The 17,781-nt window shown below is 41.0% G+C and overlaps 1 long non-coding RNA gene across 5 annotated transcripts in view, besides 1 other annotated feature; it reads right to left on the reverse strand.

Annotated features, from left to right (window-relative positions):
- Positions 1–17,781, reverse strand: part of LINC01331 (long intergenic non-protein coding RNA 1331) — a 209,330-nt gene that overhangs the window by 141,487 nt on the left and 50,062 nt on the right. For 2 of the 5 annotated variants that reach the window (NR_197438.1, NR_197437.1), the window contains exon 1: positions 7,408–7,642. The exons of 2 other annotated variants lie outside the window; for them this stretch is intronic. This is a non-coding gene — a long non-coding RNA (long intergenic non-protein coding RNA 1331). Of the gene's footprint in view, positions 1–7,407; positions 7,643–17,781 lie in introns of those variants that run through there. One more of the 5 variants, NR_126354.2, reaches the window with a different exon arrangement.
- Positions 12,508–12,637: a silencer, noted in NCBI's record as "silent region_16093". NCBI's record gives its function as "represses an Ori minimal core promoter by ATAC-STARR-seq in GM12878 lymphoblastoid cells {active_cell/tissue: GM12878}" and the evidence as "EXISTENCE:reporter gene assay evidence [ECO:0000049][PMID:35858748]".

Below are 17,781 nucleotides of genomic sequence, written 5' to 3' on the forward strand. Positions count from 1 at the left end.
GTACATCTAACCATCTGCTCATGGTCTCCATCTGGATTTCCAACAGGTGTTTCTATGTGTTCGAAACCAGACTCTTGATCTTCCACTTAAGCCTGCTCCTCGTGACGTCTTCCCCATTCAGTAAATGGCCACCCTTCCTAGCAGTCACTCAGATCAAAAACATGGGCGTCTTTCCAAACTCCTGTCTCACACACACTCCTATTTTATTTGTTGGCAAACTCTGTTGGCTTTTAGCTATGAAATACATACAAAGTCCCACTACTTTTTCACCACCTGCACTACTACCCCTCCAGTCCAAACCATGGCCATAGTATCTCTCACCTGATTTACATGGATGGTCTACTAAGTAGCCTCCCAACTTGCCTCCAATATAAATCAGATCACATCATTTCTGCTTAAAACCATCTCATTGCTTTTGATCTCCCTCAGAATACCAAGTTCTTATCTTGGCTTACGAGGCCCTACAGGATGTGGCTCGACCGCCCACCCCTCTCCCACTCCCCATCCCACCCTCAGCTCTCAGCTGTCATTTCATAGCGGTCCCTGCTGCGTACTCACATCAGCTACCCTGGGTGCCCTCACTGCTCCTTGAACACACCAATCACACACCCACCTTAGGGTCTTTGAACTTATTGTTTCTTCCACCTCGGATGCTTGTCCCCTAAATGTCTGTAAGGCTCTTTCCCTCATTCATTCAAATCCCTATTCAAATGTCACCGTATGAGAGAAGACTTCCCTGACTACATTATGCAAAATAGTACTTTTGCTGCAGTGGTTCTGTCACTTGAAGGGCTGCCATGTGGCTTTCAAGACATGCACTGCACAACTCCAGGGGGCACCATTCACATCATAGCCATCAAAGATTTGTGTATTAATTAAGACATCTTTCAGCAGTAAAGTACCTAATTTGCACAAAAATGTTATGAAGGGTAGCAGCAGCCCTGCCCATACCCTGCCTCATTATCTTTGTAGTGTTCATCACCACCTGGCAGATGCCATCCATCTCCCCTCTGCTAAGCGCTGAGAGAGCAGGCACTTTGCCTGTTTTTGTTCATGACACTAGTTCCAGTGTCTAGAACAGTACTTGTGATATGTATTGGGTGCTCAAGATTTTTGAATGAATCAATCAATCATTCAGTCAATTAATGATCAATTGATACTATGTTCTTGGAGAAAACCTCCCTTTAAGACTCTCTTGAATGACTTTATCATCCTTGCAACTACACAGATCCAAAAAAAATGATAAGATAGCCTCATTTTATAGATTCGTAAAATGATACTTCTAGATTTCAATAAATCATGCAAGTTCTGACAGCTAATAAGTGGTTTCTACAACTCCAGAGGCCACATTTCTAAAACATATCCTGCCTCTAGAGAATGGTGTTTCTAAATATTACCACCAAATAATATGGAAGCTTCACATGTGTTAAATAATGAAGCTTCACAGAGGAGAAAATTATATGCTTTAATGTTTTGCAGCAATGAATCACAATATTTATTAATAATAATTCCTTAATAATGGGGAATTACAGCAATTTGCCTTTTGACATTGCATCTAAAAGATAATGCAATAAACTTTTATTTTAAATGAACTGATGAAAAAAATGTCAAGAAGGGTAGTATTTATGGGTAAAGAAGAGTCACAGGGAAATTAAAATCCGAAAGCTTTATTTATACATTAAAAAGAAGAAGCAGCGGAGGAAATAAGCAATTACAGAAAGTTCAAATGAGATAATGGTAGATGCTTTTCCCAGCTATTTAATTAGGAGAATCTGCAGGCTAGGATAGTTGTTTTGAAGCTCTGCATGAATACAAATGAGCACACATCATATTACAGCAATGTCAATCCAAGAGCATAATATTTTAGTATTACCATTTTTTTCAGGGAGAGAAAGAACTGCTTTCTAAATACAATGGCATACCGCTTATTAATATTTAGATGTCGTACACTCTCAGCCTTCCAGGGGAGCCGTGAAAGGGCATCTGACCATGAGTAGCAACCAAAACAGCCAAGATGACAGAAGATAGGCTGTGATCAACATACTCACTATTGCAAAGAAAGTGGTATCTCACTGCCCTGGTAGGGATGGCTATAAAAACCAGCATCAAAACCAATACTAGAAGGTGAGGACAAACTGGGATATTTTGCACAGAAACCAACAGTCCTGCCTGCCCCAGCCTTCTCTGAGCACACACCAAGACACACATTCAGGACTAGCACAATAGTTTACAGCAGTTTTTCCCAAATCTGTAATAAGTGACTCTTAAAAATTAAAATGCAATCTCAAAGAAAAAATACATTTGGGAAACACTATATAGCATATGTCTTCTTGGAGAGTCTCTTTAGGATAATAAATTCCTATAACAAACATTTATCTTTGTTTCATACTCAATTGTCACGGACTGAATTGCATCTTCCCAAAATTTATTGGTTGAAGCCCTAACCCTCAATGTGACTATTTGTACATAGGGCCCTTAAGGAGGTAATAATGGTTAAGTAAGGTCTTAAGGGTAAGGCTCTAATCCGATAGGACTGGAGTCCATATAAAAAGGAGAGACACCAGGAACATGCACACAGAGAGGAAAGGCCATGCGAGGACACAGCAAGAAGGTGGCTGTCTGCAAGCCAAGGAAAGAGGCCTCACCAGAAACCAACCCTGCCTGTACCTTGATCTTGAATTTTTCAGATAAAAAATAAATAAAATAAATTTCTATTGTTTAAGCCACCCAGACTGTGTTTCTCTTATGGCAGCCTAAACAGATGAATACACCAGTATTTCTCAAACTTATTTGAACACAGAACACTCAGGTCTCCAAAATCATAGTAACAACTCTCTTTTTTTTTTTTTTTTTTTTTTTTTTTTTTTTTTTTTTTTTTTTGAGACAGTCTCACTCTGTCACCCAGGCTAGAGAGCAGTGGCACAGTCTTGGCTCACTGCAACCTCTGCCCCCCAGGCTCAAGCCTTAGCCCCCCGTGTAGCTGGAATTATAGGTGTGCACCACCATGCCCAGCTAATTTGTATATTTTTAGTACAGATGGGGTTTCACCATATTAGCCAGGCTGGTCTCAAACTCCTGACCTCAAGTGATTCACCCACCTCAGCATCTCAAAGTGCTAAGATTACAGGCATGAGCCACTGCACCCAGCCAGTGACAACTCTCAAAACAGCTCAGAAAATGTTGTTCAGGGTAATTCAAAGAATTAGTTTATAGCCCTCTCTTCATACCTAGGTAGTAAACACCTGGGCTTTTACATAGAATATGTAAACATTTACATAAACATAGAATAGGACCGTTTTCTCAATGTTGACTCTCTTTATTAAGAAGCCAAGTAAGAAATGTATCTATCAAAACCGTTTACTTTTTGTAACAATGCTTAAAAATTCAACCTCATTTATCTAAAAGCCTCCAATATACAGAACCACTCTTTAACAATAGTAATATTCGCACTTATTGTGGACATTTATTTAGGCACTATGTTAAGCACAACATGGACACTAGCTCATGTGATCTTCCCAACAGCCCCTGGAAACAGATACATACAATCAACCCTTCACATCTCTAAGCTCCACATCTACAGATTCAATCAACAGCAGATCAAAAATACTTGGAAAAAATAATAATTAAAAATAATACAACAGTAAACATAATACAAATAAAAATATAATATAGCAACAATTTACATGTTATTTACTTTGTATTAGGTATCATAAATAATCTAGAGATTATTTAAAATATACAGGAGGATATATGTAGGTTATATGCAAATACTACACTATTTTATATAAGGGACTTGAGTATCCACATATTTTGGTATCCATGAGGGTCCTGGAACCAATCCCCTGTGGAAACTGAAGGATGACTGTACTTGATAAAGAAACTGTGAGAAGGAAGAATGTGTTCACAGAGACCATACAACTAACAAGCAGCAGATCTGGGACTCAAGTCCAGGTCCTTTAAAGCCACCGTCCATGTTCTTGCCCATGCTGCTCTATGCTGCCTTAATTCCTTCCTGGGGAAACTGATCAAAGTCAAGCTCGTCACTCAACAACGGTCAGTTCTTTAGGTAAACAGTGACAGCCTTCAGAGAGGAAAGGTGAAAAAGGATACATTAGGTTAGAATGAAGGCAACTTTCACGTCAAATTGGGCCACCTATATGATACTGATTAGTAAACAAACACAAAAAAATAGCCAATACAGCCAGTCCCTTAAAGCTGGGTAAGGTCTCTCTTCTTTGTCCTCAGGCTCACCAGCACACTCCTTGCATGAGAGGTTCACTCAGAGGTAGGCACAAGGAAACTCTAACAGAAGAATCAGCTAGACTCCTAGTTGGATCAGGCTCAGTAGAGTCCTCTGTGGGGCAGGGGACATGTGGCCTGGCCCAACAGAGCTCTGCCTAATGCTATTGCGCTTGACAAATTCTCGTAAGTCATACTGATAAGGGCAATAGTGTCTGAAAAATCTCTTTAGCCAGCCATGCATTTTTTAATACACTCTGTATCACCAGTTTTAAAAATTATTTATGCTAATTAATAAATCTTTTTGAATAGATTTCTATAACATGAAGATGCGGTATCTATCTCTGAAGTAGAGAGAGCCCTCACTTGGGTGCTTCAAAGATAGCAACTACCTGTATTAGTCAGAGATTTCCAGAGAAACAGAACCAAGAGGATGCGAGTGTGTGTGTGTGTGCGCACATGTGTGTGTGTGTGCACGCGCACGTGCGCACATGCACATGTGTGTTGTGTATACAGAGAGACAGAGAGACAGAGGTTTATTTTAAAGAATTGACTCGTGTAATTGCAGAAGCTTGGAGAGTTCAAAATCTGATGGGGTAGGCCAGCAGGCTGGAGACTCAAGAAAGAGCTAGAGTTCAAGTCCAAAGGCAGTCTGCTGATGAACCAGGAAGAGCTGATGTTACAGAAGCAGCTCAAAGGCAATCTGCCAGCAAAATTACTTCTTGGTTGGAAGACATCAGTCTTTGTTCTATGAAGGCCTTCAACTGACTGGATGGAGTCCATTCACATTATGTATACTAATCTGCTTTACTCAAAATCCACCTTTTAAAACTTTAATCTCATTCAGAAACACCTTTACAGAAACATCCAGAATAATGTTCAACCAAATATCTGTGTACTGTGTCCCAGCCAAGTTGACAACAAATAAAATTATCATGCCACCCTAGTAATAACTACTCATACCTTATACAGCTTATACTAAAGTATTTTAAATAAATTTCTACACAGTACTCATGAGACTAAACTAAGATCCTGTAACAAATACCCCTACACAGACACACTAAAATCCAGGGGCTTAAGGAATATGTTTATTACCTCATGTAGCAGTCCAGGGTGAGGACTCTAGGTCAAGGGCTGTCTGCTCCATGGAATCACTGAGAGACCCAGGACCACAGCAGACCTAACTCTGCTCCAGCTTCCAAGACCGCTCTGGCCACTAAAGCCCACAAGCATAAGGAAGGAGCATGGAGAAGGATGTATACGGGCTCTGTTTGCCAGGCTGGGAAATGGCCCATATCACTACAAGTGAAACTGGTTAATGACATCAGCTGTGTGCCCAGGTAGGCGAATGGGAGAACTAGTGGTCTCCACCATACACACGGTGTGTGTGATAGCTGGTGGTGGCAGAAAGTAAAAGTGCCATCAATATATTAACTCAACATTAATACATCTTCATTTTCTTCAGAGCACTTTTCTCTCTTCAAAATTATCTTTTTTGTTTACTAGTTTATTTATCTGGTTTGCAGCAATTGGGAGGAGACAAAATAGCAGCTCAAAGTGCGAGCCATTACAAATCAACTTCTTATTCTTTAAGCCCCTGGATTTCAGTGTGTCTATGTAGGGGGTATTTGTTACAGGATATTAGTCTACTCTTATGAGTATAACACAGACACATGAGAGTCATCAGACTGCCTGGGGTTCATCATGACACCTCAACTTAGCACCTGTGTGACCTTGGGCATGTGGTTAAATTCTAGGAGTCTCTGTTTTCTTGTGTAAAAATGGAGATAATACCATACTGAACGTTACGGGGGGCTGCCCAGATAGCCCCACTTCAGTGCTGTTGCATCTGTCCCCAACTGCTAGAAATATTGACAGGTGATGGCACTCAGCTGATGAGAAATTGTCTTCCCCAGGGTAACACCTTCTGCTGGGGGCATCTATATCTAATGACCATTGATGGGGTGTGTGGGTGGGGGATGGGGATGTATAAAAGCCTACTTTCTTTGCCTCAGGAATATACAACTCTCGGGTGGGTGAGGTGGCTCATGCCTGTAATCCCAGCACTTTGGGAGGCTGAGGTGGGCAGATCACGAGGTCAGGATTTCAAGACCAGCCCGGCCAACATGGTGAAACCCTGTCTCTACTAAAAATACAAAAATTAGCCAGGCGTGGTGGTGCGCACCTGTAATCCCAGCTACTCCAGAGGCTGAGGCAGGAGAATTGCTTGAACCTGGGAGGCAAATGTTGCAGTGAGCTAAGATTGCGCCACTGCACTCCAGCCTGGGCAACAGAGCAAGACTCAGTCAAAAAAAAAAAAAAAAATTAAAAGAAGATACATCTCTCGAAGGCCTTCCCAGCTTGAGCACCCAGTGGGATCTGCTGACACCCTTGCTGCAGTTACATCTCAGTGCAATTCCTTCCTCTCTCACTGCCTCCCAGTCTCACTGCCTTTGCTCCCCATAGGTGTTGATCACAAAGGCATTCACCAAGAAACTTTCTGCACATACATCATATATCTCCACCTCAGTGTCTGATTTCTGGAGAATTGACCTAAGGCTTGTGGGAATTAGAGGAGATAAGCCTGAAAAAGCACTCAGAACAGAGCATTGCACATAGTAAGCACCCAATGAATATTTGTTGAGTTGAAGGAATGAATGATGCTTTGTCCATATTGTAAATAAAAACCGTTAAACAAGAGAAGTTAAGAGAACATCCATGACTACATAAACTTATCTATGTCTAAATTATATGGATAACAAAATGTAAAAGAAAGTAGACACAGTTATTTGTAATATTTCAATGCCATTATTTTATAACCAGAAAAATTCTTCATGATGCATGATTCTAGCTACAAACTGTGCAAGAGAAAGCTGTGAAATCAAGAGCCATGCATTATCAAAAACTTTTATTTTGTCCTAATTTTAGATCAGTTATGTTATTCTTCAGATCAGCATGACAAGTATTGAAATCGGAGTGACAGGCAATTTTGTCACCCTATCTTTCTTGGAAACCTACGAACTGTGTCTCATTTCTCACATTTGCCCTTCAATTCTGATTCTTGCTGCAGACTCAGTAAAGATGTAAAATCTCTTACATCTCTACACCCTTGCTAGCACCAATGTGACAGACACACAAATATCTGGGATGCACTTTTCATTTTCCTACCTCCAAGGCTGTTTACATCACCATTCAAGCCAGCTGGCTTCCTCCTTAGAGCGCTGCCTTCACTTTCAATCTTGTTCACCTTGGGGTTTTATTTCTCACAATGGTGTTACATATTCTGAATATGAAGAGGATATTAAATTAATGTATTCCCCAGACCACTCAAAGCAATTTTTAAAAAACAACCACTAAAAGAGTTCATCTGCCAACTCCCAAGTGCTGCGAGCACTCTGCATCTGCCTTTGCATTCATTTCCCTCCCATGCAAATATGCACACAGCCCACAAGGAAGGAGGCACAATTACCAGCCTTAACCAGATCAATCTCCCGAAATTCAATGTCAAAGAAACATCCCAGGATGTCAAAATTTACTTGTAAGCGACTCATCACCCCTTCTGAGATGGACTATGTTAATTCACAGGGGAGAATAACCTTCTCGGAAACACACATTTACATTTACATAAAGCAGAGTAGAAAATAATCATGCTTCTCCATGAGCAAATGACAGTTACATAAGGATATTCTTCCACCTTTTTGCGTGTCACTCATAAAACTGCTTTCAAAATTACATCTGTGGAGAGGACGCTTGGAAAGCAGTGCCGTTTGCTACAAGCACTGTTCAAAACCACTCACAAATCCGTCACCTTTTTCCTTCTTTCAAGTACACTTTGCTTAATTTTAGTATGTGTTATCCTCTCAAAAAAAAAAAATCACATAAAAAACTTTCACCCTAGAAAGGTTTCTCGGAACATTTCCCCTCTGAGAGCTTTAAGCGAAGGTTGTACATTAAATGGTTTCATAAAAGATCCTGAATAAAGGCTATTATCTACATGTAACATTCACTCGCACTATATCTCATGATCTATTGACATAAAGCAGTTTATTGGTCAATATCACTGGCCAAAGGCAGAGACAGAGGTATGATTCCAGCCATCTGGAAATCTATTATCAAGGCTAATGCATATGCCTTTCATTTCTAAAGATCTGGTTTCAGCTTCATCAGTTAAAAGTGAATTGGGTGGTCTTGTCTTACCCACATTAAAGAACCATTATGCAGTTTAGCCTAACAAAACACCATCAGTCATGAACATCATTTAGCAGAAGTCAACCTAGGCAAAATGTCCAGTCTGTTGAGTATGCCTCCTTCTCTAACCTCTCGTTCCCTGATCAGGCTATTCATGGGCAAAATTATAAAGTAGGCAGAGTTAGTTTGAGGTTATTTTGAGTCTATTAGTCAAAAGCACAGAGTGGGAGAAATAGATATGGATATAAGAATGAAACAAGCGACAAAAATATGCGTTCTAGTCCTAGCTAGTCACTACCTCTCTGGGGCTCAGTATCTTCAGCTGTAAAATGGGGATAACAACCACCCTCACGCTTTGAGGGCTCTTGGAATTGAAAGAGTTCCCTTATCCCCCTCGCAGGACGTTAGGCGGAGGTGTGGCTCACTGCCCCACCACTCAAACCCCTAGGGGAAGTATGCAGACGGCAGGTGCAGAGACCGTGGGGAGCGTTTTTTGGGCTCTGGCCCCATGGCTGCATCTAGGGGTGGGTGTCTGCGACTCCCGAAGTCCAAGTGGGTGTGTGTTACAGTGTGCTCTTTCAGCTTTGCCGTCTGCAGACGGCTTGTGTTAATCAGCTCAACAGACCCTCTGCCTTATCGCTAGGGCAGGGGACCAGTGTGACAGCCTGAGTTCTTGCCCATTGTATCAGAAGAATCAGATCACACGTGGGCTGGAAGGATGAGTGCAAGGTCTTATTGAGTAATGGAGGTGGCGCTCAGCGAGATGGATGGGGAGCAGGAAGGAGGGGATAGAGTGGGAAGGTGATCTTCCCTTGGAGTCAAGCCCCCCAGCAGCCAAACTCTTCTCAGACGGCCCCAGCTGAACTCCTCTTGGTGTCCAGATGTCCTTCCTCTTCTCTCTCTGCTGTGCCGCCCCGCTGCTCTCTGCCACTCTCTGCCTCTCTGTTCCTCTTCTCCTCTCAATGTCCAGCTGCTTGTTTTTCTGCCCACTAAGGTCTCAGGTTTATATGGACACAGGATGCAGAGCATGGTGGGTCAGAGTGGTCTTGGAAAATGCAACATTTGGGCGCGAACACAGGAGTGCCTGTTCTTACTTAGGTCTGTGGGCACAGGCCCAAGGGTGGAGCCCTGGCCAAGGACACCGCCTTTCTCTACCCAGCACTTCCCTGCCCCCCTCCCATATCAGAATGATCAAAAGAACACATGGCTATGAAAAGCCATACATCATTTGCAAATAACAAGATTACTACTATCCTTTCTTGCCCTCATTTTTACTTTCCACATTTTCCATATGGCCCTCCCCATCTACAGAGACCTGGTGCTCTCCATCTTTCTCTTCCCCTACGTGGATTTAGCCGTCTCCTCCCCTACCTGGATTTAGCTGCCATCAGTCCTGCACCCTGGGTCTTGCCTGTCCCCTAAGTATCAGTAATATTTCCCTGCTAATTTCCCTTCTTACAATGTGTGATCTCTGCTATGTGTTAACTGGTCAGTCTGGGAAGCTGTTACTCCCTATGCTATCAGAAAAAGTGCTGCCTTGCCAAGCACTTATTAGAGACCCTGAATTTTCCAGAGCAATTTCAATTCTGGCACAGGATGGCTAGGAATGCACAGAAGTGAAGGCAGAACTTTTGTCAGTTTTCAAACCTGGGGTGGTGAGGGTGGTGACTTACTCGATATCACTCTAAGTACCAGGCCTGGGAATCCAGGGCCAGCCTAGTCCTAGAGAAAATAAAGATGACTACCATACATCCATATCACACACTCAGTGTGACTCTCTACATTCCCAGATCACAGGGAACTCTGTAACAATGTCTCACCTGTGATTCTCAGAGACAGGCCTCAGTTTGAAACTTCCTACCAGCGGCATATCCATTGTTTTCCCTTTTATTTATCTCATATTACCTCAGATATATTAGTTGGTTACATTGAAATCAGATCAGCTCAAAATTATCCACTTGTGGTGAATTTTTTTTTAACCCAAATAGGTTTCTCCATATATCCATCAATGCTTCTGGGTCACTTTTCCATAGCCACGACTTGGTTTATTCTCAGGAAATGCAAGCTACGGTTTTTATAGATCTGAACCAAACCACTAGAGAGATAGCCATACTGCCCCGAAATCATATCCATCTAAATGTCCATCTCACTTTTTTTCTGTTTTTTTTTAATAACCAGAAAAGCTCTTCATCAAGCGTGATTCTAGCTGCAAACTGTGCAAGATGAAAGCTATGAAATCAAGAATGGAAATGGAAATGTTTTCATATCAGCCCCTGCATGGAATATCCCTGGCTATTGCACTCCCACCTTCACCCCCATCATCCAGGAAGAATCAGCGTGATCAGGGTCATTCTATGAGGGCAGAGCCCTGAGACAAAAGCACAAAACTCTCCAACTCCCTCACATCAGCTTGTCCCCCAACACACACACCCATTCCTAAGTCAAAAAATGATTTAATTTATAATGCACAATTTAATTTGCTTCACACATTACATCATTTCTCAATACACTTTAAGGTAAAAACTTACAAGGAGAAACCAGAAGGGTTTGTTAAGACCTGGTGAGGAGGCAGATGATGGGTTCAAGTGCAGGGGCCGCAGAGGGGTTGGTGCAGTGACCAGGGAAGACAGAAGAGCAGGTGTTAATGGCTGCTTGTGTATATGGGGACCTGAAGGCTTTCTTAGCCCCAGACAGCCCCCACCCTCGACATTCCTTAGCTGAGAGCCAGTTCTCAAACTTTCTTCAGCATCAGGAATAACAATGATAATCAAGGAGCCTACTGAAAATTCAGATGATCGTGCTCATCCCCAGAGATGGGTCCATAGGTCTGGATTTGCAGCTCTGCATTTTTAAAAGGTACCAAGTACCACAGGTTATTCTGCTGCAGGTGGCCAGAGACCCACACTTTGAGTTCTTCTGGCCACTGGCCTCATTCAGTAGAGCAAAGCATGCAGTGAGTGACTTCGAGGGGAAGGCTCAGGGCCTTATGAGTGGAAATCCCGTATGCAAGCATGATTCCACGGGAAGCTGTGTGCAAAAACTCTCAAAGAGAAGGTGTTACTTGAGAGCATTCAGCTGGCGTGTGACAGCTACACGATATGCATGCATAAAAGGAGGTGTTACGGTGTCTAATTATTACCTTTAGAAGATTTTAAAGATGGATTCTATGATCCTTGATCACTTGAAATTTTGAACCTAGGGGAAAGATATCTAAGAACAATCCCTATAAATAATAGCAATGAATAGGTGTGAAGAGTGACTATATTTAGCCACAAAGTGAGCTGTTATAGGCATTTCCCCCAACTTTACAGGAGCACCATTTCTGTATTCTTTTTACTCCTACAAGATACACATCCTGTTTACCTTGTGCTTTGTGTTATACAAAGAATGGATACTTAAAACAGGCCTAGGATTTTTAAAATATAAAATAAACGCCTATGTTGTTCATTCTATTCAGTTGACTGTCTCAAGACAGAATATTCCAGCAGTGATATCCCTCTTGGGAAACTCAATTTTGAAAGTACTCAAAAATAGTAATGTGGAGCCGAAAAGATTCACATTATTTCTAATATCCTATAAAGGAAATCTTATTTCCCTAAGTTAAGGCCATATAGGCTAATAGTACATACTCTTAAGCATTTGAGTATATTAAAAATCTTTTAGCAAGATACAAGGAAAAATAATAGCAGAGGTCCTCAATAGAAAAAAAAAAAACTCGGGAAAATTTATTTCAGAGGAATATCTCACTATTCAGCTATATCCTAGTAACAACTTTACTTAATAAAGAGTCAAATTCATTGCACAATTAAAAGGCTTTGGAAATGTTCTGCTCAAGATCTATCTCTGGAAGCACAAATCACTACATCTGCCATGGAATCACATGCAATGTCAGGTTGAATTTTTGTTTTTTAATGATTTTATTTTGGTCTCAACAAAGTAAGGCCAGAAAGATAAAACAAGATAGAGAAGCTGTCAGAAAAATGAGCACATTCCAAAAACCAAATAAGCTGTCTCCCCAAAAAAGCATCACTTTCTTTGTTGTTTATCATATGCTAAAGTGATTTGCATATTGTCTTTCAAGGTGGAACTTTCCACTGCATTTGCATCATCTCAAGAGCCAGTGGCTGCCCCCTCTGCATGCTGTCTTGTTGCTATGGAAATGAGGGTGTACAGTAAGACAAGGAGCAAAGGTAATGGGCTTTAAACAGAAATGTTAACAAGAGAGTCATCTTGCTCTGTCATCCAGGCTGGAGTGCAGTGGTGAAATCTCAGCTTACTGCAACCTCTGCCTCCCTGGTTCAAGCGATCCTCTTGCCTCAGCCTCCCGAGTAGCTGGGATTACAGGCACATGCCACCATGCCTGGCTAATTTTTATATTTTTAGTAGAGATGGGGTTTCACCAATTTGGCCAGGCTGGTCTCGAACTCCTGACCTCAGGTGATCCACCCGCCTCAGCCTCCCAAACTGCTGGGACTACAAGCGGGAGCCACCACACCTGGCCAAAAAAAATTAACTACTTTTGTAATCCTCCCTGTAATAATAATATCTAGCAATAAAGACACTTAAGCAAACTGATTTTATTTTTAAAGACCTCACTAACAATCATAGAGTATCTGTTACACAGCTTGAATTTGATTTACTTGCTTAATGCCTTTAGCTTTTCATGTATAAAGAGACTGGTTTAAAATTGACCACACTAAATTGGTAAAAGTCTTGTCAGATTCCTCTCACTCATAGAGAAGTTTCTAAGACTCAAGTTATCAAAAGTGAGTGGTTAACCTAAAAGTTAACTCTGTTTTGAAATGTGTGTGTGACCTTAGGCAAGTATGTTGAACTCTCTAAATCCTTGTTTCCTTCTCTGGAAAATAAGATAATACCACTTATGTTACAAAATTGTATAGAGATCTGACCTAACGAAAAGTTTGGCACATGATAGGCATTTAATCAATGCAAGCATGGTGGCGTTAAAACCAATTTTCTCAGCACACATTAGCTGAGTGGAGGAGACAGTTTAGAGCCTCATAGTGGGTGGCAAGACAGTTGGGAGAAAAGGATCCGGGCTTGGCCTAAAATTTGCTGTGAATAATCCATAAAGTGAGCTATCCACAGAAGCAGATCATCAAGCATTGGCTATACATGGAAAAGGGCTTTCCTCACCCATCCAAGATAAAGGCCCACCTGGGCATGACAATTCCAGGTTGTGGTTTGACTCTGAGCACTGGGAATGTTGGCTTTCCCCGCAAGCTTGGCTATTCCGAGCACAGAAATATCACATTATAGTAACTACCCTGTGGCAAAGGCGATTTGAGAGCAGTGCAAACTCTTCCCTTTTTCTCTCCACTAGCATCCAGACTGCTAAATATTTGGTGCCAGTGGTTACGGTTGATTCCATTTCCAGAAATGCAATGCAGCTGGAAAATATTTTTTCTCATAGTGGAAAAAGGCTGGACCATTATGTATCTCTTCAGCAAACGGTTATGATACATAAAGAAATTAACTTTAATGCAATATAAAGCACACTGTTTACCAAACGCCAAAATGGGGAATAATGTCTATGTTGGTGCAGAAGTCCTTGTCACCACCCCCATCCATGGTTTTGCTTTTTGCAGTTTCAGTTACCCATGCCCAACCACAGTCCAAAAATATTAAATGGAAAATTTCAGAAATAATTAATTTATAAGTTTTAAATGGTGTGCTATTCTGAGTAGTGAGATAAAATCTCAGGGCTGTGCCTCTCCATCCTGACTGAGACAGGAATTGTCCCTTTGTCCGGCAGATCCATGCTGCCGACACTCCCTGCCTGTCAGTCACTTAGTAGCCAGCTGGTTGTCCAATTGACTGTTGTGGTATCCCAGTGCCTGCATTCAAAGAGCCCTTATTTTACTTAATAATGGCCCAAAGCCCAGGAGTAGTGATGCTGGCAATTCTGACATGCCAAAGAGAAACTGTAAAGCGCTTCCTTTAAATGAAAAGGTGAAAGCTGTTGACTTGAGGAAAGAAAAAAATCATATGCTGAGGTTGCTAAGGTTTACAGTACGATAAGATATTTTGAGAGGGCACATCCACATAATTTTTATTACAAAATATTGTTTTAATTGTTTTCTTTTATTGTTGTTAATCTCTTACTGTGCCTATTTTATAAATTAAACTTTATCATACATATACATGTATGGGAAAAAAATATATAGCCTATATAGCAGGGGTCCCCAACTCCCAGGCTGGGGACCCTTACTGGTCTGTGTCCTGTTAGGAATCGGGCTGCACAGCAGGAGGTAAACAGTGGGACAGTGAGCATTACCGCCTAAGCTCCACCTCCTGTCAGATCAGGCGGCACTGGATTCTCATAGGTGCATGAACCTCACTATGAACTGCACACGTGAGGAATCTAGGTTGCAGGCTTCTTATAAGAATGTAACTCCTGGCCGGGCATGGTGGCTCACGCCTGTAATCCCAGCACTTTGGGAAGCCAAGGCGGGCAGATCACGAGGTCAGGAGATCGAGATCATACTGGCTAACGCAGTGAAACCCAGTCTCTACTAAAAATACAAAAAAAAAAAAAAAATTAACCGGGCGTGGTGGTGGGCGCCTGTAGTCCCAGCTACTCGGGAGGCTGAGGCAGGAGAATGGTGTGAACCCGGGAGGCGGAGCTTGCAGTCAGCCGAGATTGCACCAGTGCACTCCAGCCTGGGCGATAGAGCGAGACTCTGTCTCAAATAAATAAATAAATAAATAAATAAATAAATAAATAAATAAATAAATAAATTAAATAAAAATAAAACAAAGAATGTAACTCCTGATGATATGTTTCATCCCGAAACCAACCCCTCCCCCGCAACCCCTCCACCGTCCATGGAAAAATTGTCTTCCACAAAGCCAGTCCCTGGTGCCAAAAAGGTCGGGGACCGCTGCTATAATGTTTGGTACTATGTGTGATTCCGGGCATTCTCTGGGGATCTTGGAATGTACCCTAGGGATAAGGGGGGCCTACCGTACTATCATATAAACTTTCCCACATTTCATATTAGCATTTGTGATCGCTGGCTGTCAGGAAAACCAGCCCTTTCTTCTATAAATGTGGCTGGGTGGATTTGGAAACATTTTGGATACGTAAACTTGTATTTCTTAGCATAGGTTCTTTCCACTCAATTCCTTTAAGTATTTTTTGGAAAAAAAATGAGAAACTAAGCTGACACTGGCCCTTATAGTTTTGTTCCTTCTATTTTTATCATGTAAATGAGCTGGGGACCTAAACACTAGAAATATATTCAAAAGGTTTAAATAAGCCACACTTAGCTCTATTATTTTTCTTCCAGGCTCAATAAATCTACTTTTAATTTAATTTATATTTGGAAGAAAACTTCTGCTTATAGGCACCAAAAATGTGTCATGGAATGTGGTAGGTATGTTATTACATTATCATGTTTATTTCTCACAACAACCTTGTGAAGTAGGTATGTGGCTATTAAACAAGGGAAGAAACAAGTCTGGAAGAGACAACATCTCTTGTCTAAGGTCATAAAACTAGAAATTGGTGGAGCCAGGATAGCTCTTTTGATTCCAAGCCAAATGCTTTTTCTTGTAGGACTAGGACACCTTATTGAGTTTCTCTAAATGTTGGAAGCCAAGTTGTCCCGTAACTTTATTAAGAGTCACCCTTAGTTGGTCTTTGATTGCTATAATTTTTCCTTCCACTAAAGGCTGTAAATAACAATGGTTTCAACTCTGGGGGGCTTTTTAAATACAGATGCATATTCTCCCATCTCAATCAATTTAATATAATCTCTGAGGTGAGGACCAGGCATCTGATTTTTTTTAATGCTCCAGAGGATTCTAACATTGAAAACATTAGCCAGGGTTGAAAACTACAGCTTTAAGATACCAGCTCAGCCAAGACCCTAGAAAGTCTTTGATTTTTATTGACCCTAGAAAGTCTTTGACTGTAAGTCACAACCCAGAGATGTTAACATTGGAAAATTGTTAAAGGGGATTATAAGATACCAGGGATTATATTTTTATATAAATAACATTTATATAAATAACTATATTATATAAATAACATATTTATGTAAGTTTAATAAAAATCTATTCTCCTTGTACAAGATACAGTTGGAAACACTGGTTATATTATGAAGGCATTGACTGGAATGTCATGTTTTCAGATGTGACCAGACAACTTAAGGAACTAAGGTTGACTTTATGGTGCCAATAAAGCCTCTTAGGGGTTAAAAAACTGACCTGATACCCTGCATACATGATTCTTATAAATGGGTCCCTTACATAGTTACAGGCGAGTAAGGGATGTCACTTCCTGGCAGGCCCAGGAACATCAGAAGATTTTGAGGACTTTGAGAAGAGAGGAATTCAACAAAACTATAGGTATTGCAAAAGTCTGATGGCCAAGTCCTTGGATGAGGTTCTTAACCTCAAAATACTTTTAAAAATCTAGTCTGAGATTCCTTATGAAAAGTTCCAGCAAAGCAAACTTTAACAGAGCCTACATGGTCAATCACTACTCTTGCTACACTTAGTAAATAAACTGGCCAAGTTTAATGAGACTAAACTTAATTTGGAAGTGAATTTGTCTACTTTGGTTATTTTTGGTAAAACTGGGGATGACTACAGAGAAATAAATTATGTTTCAGAAAAAATTTATAGTGTGCTTGTTATTAGATTCTAGCCTTGTTCATAATTTTTGAGGTTTTGTTATTTACCTGCAAACTGGATTGGATTCTAAATTCTTATAGTTTCCTCCAATATCTGGCTGCAACTCTCCAGACTAATATTTCCCAATCCTTCTGACGTGTAGTCACTGAAATTAAAATTGCCCCTTTCCTGAAGCCCTGTGAGCTGAAGCTAGATGACTTGATATAGACTTCAGAGAAGTCACCACAATAGCTTATGTATGGACAACCTTCATGACATTCAAACTGCAAACCAGAAAAATCTGTCAGTGTCCCTGCCTGTCTTCACTCCATCTGAAGATGCTTCAAGCTCAAATTTAGAAATCTTCTCGACTATCTGTCATCTGGATTCAAAAACTGAGTTTATAGTTTGCTCTAACCATTAGCTTTTGTTTTTCTTTGTTTTCATAGAAATGACTCATTTAAATACCTGATTGATCAGACCATATAGACGTCTAAGTCTAATGGAAGCCGACCTGCCACACTAACTCCTGACATGAAACACAACTATTAACTGTCTAGCTGAACTGGCCTATCCCCAGGAATAAAAGACAAGTTCAGTAACTTGTAGGACAATCCAATACCCAGTTTCTGGACTGTAAAACTTTTTGGGGAAGTTTCAGGGAATGGTGGGGTTTAAAACACACTAACCCCAAAATATGGCACCTTGGAT

Source organism: Homo sapiens, chromosome 5, assembly GCF_000001405.40.
Source record: "Homo sapiens chromosome 5, GRCh38.p14 Primary Assembly".
NCBI lineage: Eukaryota > Metazoa > Chordata > Mammalia > Primates > Hominidae > Homo > Homo sapiens.